Genomic DNA, 2,400 nt, shown 5'->3' with positions numbered 1-2,400 from the left:
AACCATTCTTAGATATTTAGCCAAAAAAATATGTCCACAAAAAGTCTTGTACGAAAGTGTTCATTGGAGCATTATTTATAATAGCTAAATACTAGAGACAACCCAAACGTTGGCCCACCAGAGAATGAATAAACAAACTGTGCTATGTTCATACAATGGAATATCACTAAGCAATAAAAAGGAAGAGCACATCAACTGTGACAACATGGGTAAATCTCAAACACATCATGCTGAGTGGAAGAAGCCAGACACAGAAAAGGCCATGCTTTACAATTCCACCTGCATGAAATTCTAGAACAAGCAAGACTGATCTATGGTGATAGAAATCAGAGCAGTGGTTGCCTCTGGCAGAGCAGTGGGAGGGTGAGGATTGGACTGGAAGAGAGCACAGAGAAACTTTCTAGGGTAATAGAAATATTTATATATATGTTCATTTTTTTCTTTCAAAGTAGTGATTGTCCTGAAGAATCAGAGAGGAGTACTCAGGGTGTTGCAAGTCCTGATTAGGCAGAGGCATTAATCACATTTCATGCATCTCCAATCATCATGTTCTATCTGCCCTCCAAAACGAGGAACAGGTAAGGATTATCCCACCCATCGATAAGCATTATATATTTTGATAGAAATGTGGGTTACACAGGTATATGCATTTGTCAGAATTCATGAAACTTACACTTAAGCTCTATGTCAGGGTGACCAATCTTTTGGTCTCCCTGGGCTACACTGGAAGAATAATTGTCTGGGGCCACACATAAAATACACTATTGTCACAGGATCCTTGGGGTGTCACTTTTCTGGCTGGAAACCTCTGTGGCACCTTTGCCTGAGTTTTGCTTGGGCCCACTGGGCTCGTTCTGCCCACTTGGCCTGGCAGGCTTTGCTCACCTTGCACGAAAAGCCTGGATCCCACGCCTGCCAAGGGCAATTCAGGTGCAGAGTGATAAGGGGTATGTGAGTGAGTGAACGTGAGGTCTGGCTGCTGCACACAGCCAGGCACTCCAGCTGCGGCAGGGCAGGCAGCTCCAGGCACTGGCATGGGTGCCGGTTCCCTGCGAGGCTACAGCTGGACCAGGCGTACTGCAAGCAGTTTCTATGGCTGGCACTGGGGAACATGGTGGTGCCTGGAAGCTTGGAGACTCCAAGAACTGCAGAACTCCAAAAAGGGTGTCACAGCCCTGGCTCAAGGAGCTCGTAGGTCTGGGATCCCCAAAGGGCTGAAACTCTTCTCTCCTTCTCTCTTCTCTCCCTCTCATCTTCCGCAATGTGGCAAGCAAAGGACATGTTTCAGTCCTGTCTGTGTTACAGTTCTTTCAGCCCTGCCACTCAGCAGGTCCCAAGTTCTTGTCCTGCATCCAGAAAGAATGAGGTATGCAGACAAGTGGAGGGTAGCAAGGTGAAGAAGTGCTTTATTGAGTGATAGAACAGCTCAGAGGAGACCCGCAGTGGGTAGCTGTCTGCAGGCAGGTCATCCCAACAAGTGTCCAGCTCTCAGCAGAGAGAAGACCCACAGTGGGTAGCTCCTCTCTGCAGACAGGTCATCTGTGCAAGTCTGGCTGAGTCTGGGGTTTTTACATGCCTCAGAGGGGAGGAAGTATGTGCTGATTGGTCCATGGGCAGCCATGGGCAGACCCAGAAAAAGCACCAAAAGTTCTCACTGTGGTCGGCAGAACTGGCAGCCTGGACCCCAGGCTGTCCCTGGCCTGAAGCGGGGGTTTCATCAGGGACACGCCCCTTTCTGCCCAGGAGCCTGTCTGTCTCCTGCTGCCATTAACCTGCCATCCACGGTGCCCACAGTGCTCAGGCTGTTCATGCTGAGGGGTGCCTGCAGACATGCCCTAGCCACCCTTATCCCTGCCTTGGCCTCTCTCCCCTGCTCATCTGCATTCAAAGTCTGGAGGGGGCTGAAGCAGCAGGGAGCTGGCGTGTTAGCACTGCCCTAAGTGTGCACACACCCAGCTGGGTCATGACAGCACCTGGGCTCAGCCACAACTTTGCTCCAAAATTGGAGTGGATGCTGGGAGTGGGAGAGGCCAGGCAGCAGGAGCAGTAACTTCAGAGCCTTCAGGGACAGGGGACTTCCTGGGCCCCTAGAGTGCAGAGAGGCCTGGGTCTGCAGCCATGGCTGGGCAGCTCCAGCTGCCCCAGTAGGGTGGGGCTCTCACACCTCCAACTTGGAAGCGGGCAGGGCTTCTGCCTGTTCCCAGCTCTCACTGGCTCTGTGGAGCGGGCAGCCCTGGCTACCCCGCCCCCACTGCAGCCAGTATCATGGCAGCAGCCAGGCCACCACCGCCATCACTAACACTAACAAAAGCTGATGAGCTAAAAACAAACAAACAAAATCTCATAATATTTTAAGAATGTTCAGGAATTTGTGTTGGGCCACATTCAAAGCTGTCCTGA

At 51.1% G+C, this 2,400-nt stretch overlaps 1 non-coding gene across 1 annotated transcript; it reads right to left on the bottom strand.

Annotated features, from left to right (window-relative positions):
• Positions 1 to 467: 467 nt before the first annotated feature.
• On the bottom strand, positions 468 to 601 carry LOC124900277 (U8 small nucleolar RNA). The gene has a single exon (XR_007061911.1). It is a non-coding gene; the product is annotated as a U8 small nucleolar RNA (small nucleolar RNA).
• Positions 602 to 2,400: the final 1,799 nt, after the last annotated feature.

The sequence above is a fragment of the Homo sapiens genome, chromosome 9 (genome assembly GCF_000001405.40).
Source record: "Homo sapiens chromosome 9, GRCh38.p14 Primary Assembly".
In the NCBI taxonomy this organism is placed as follows: domain Eukaryota; kingdom Metazoa; phylum Chordata; class Mammalia; order Primates; family Hominidae; genus Homo; species Homo sapiens.
This window is presented reverse-complemented; position numbering and strand designations above follow the sequence as displayed.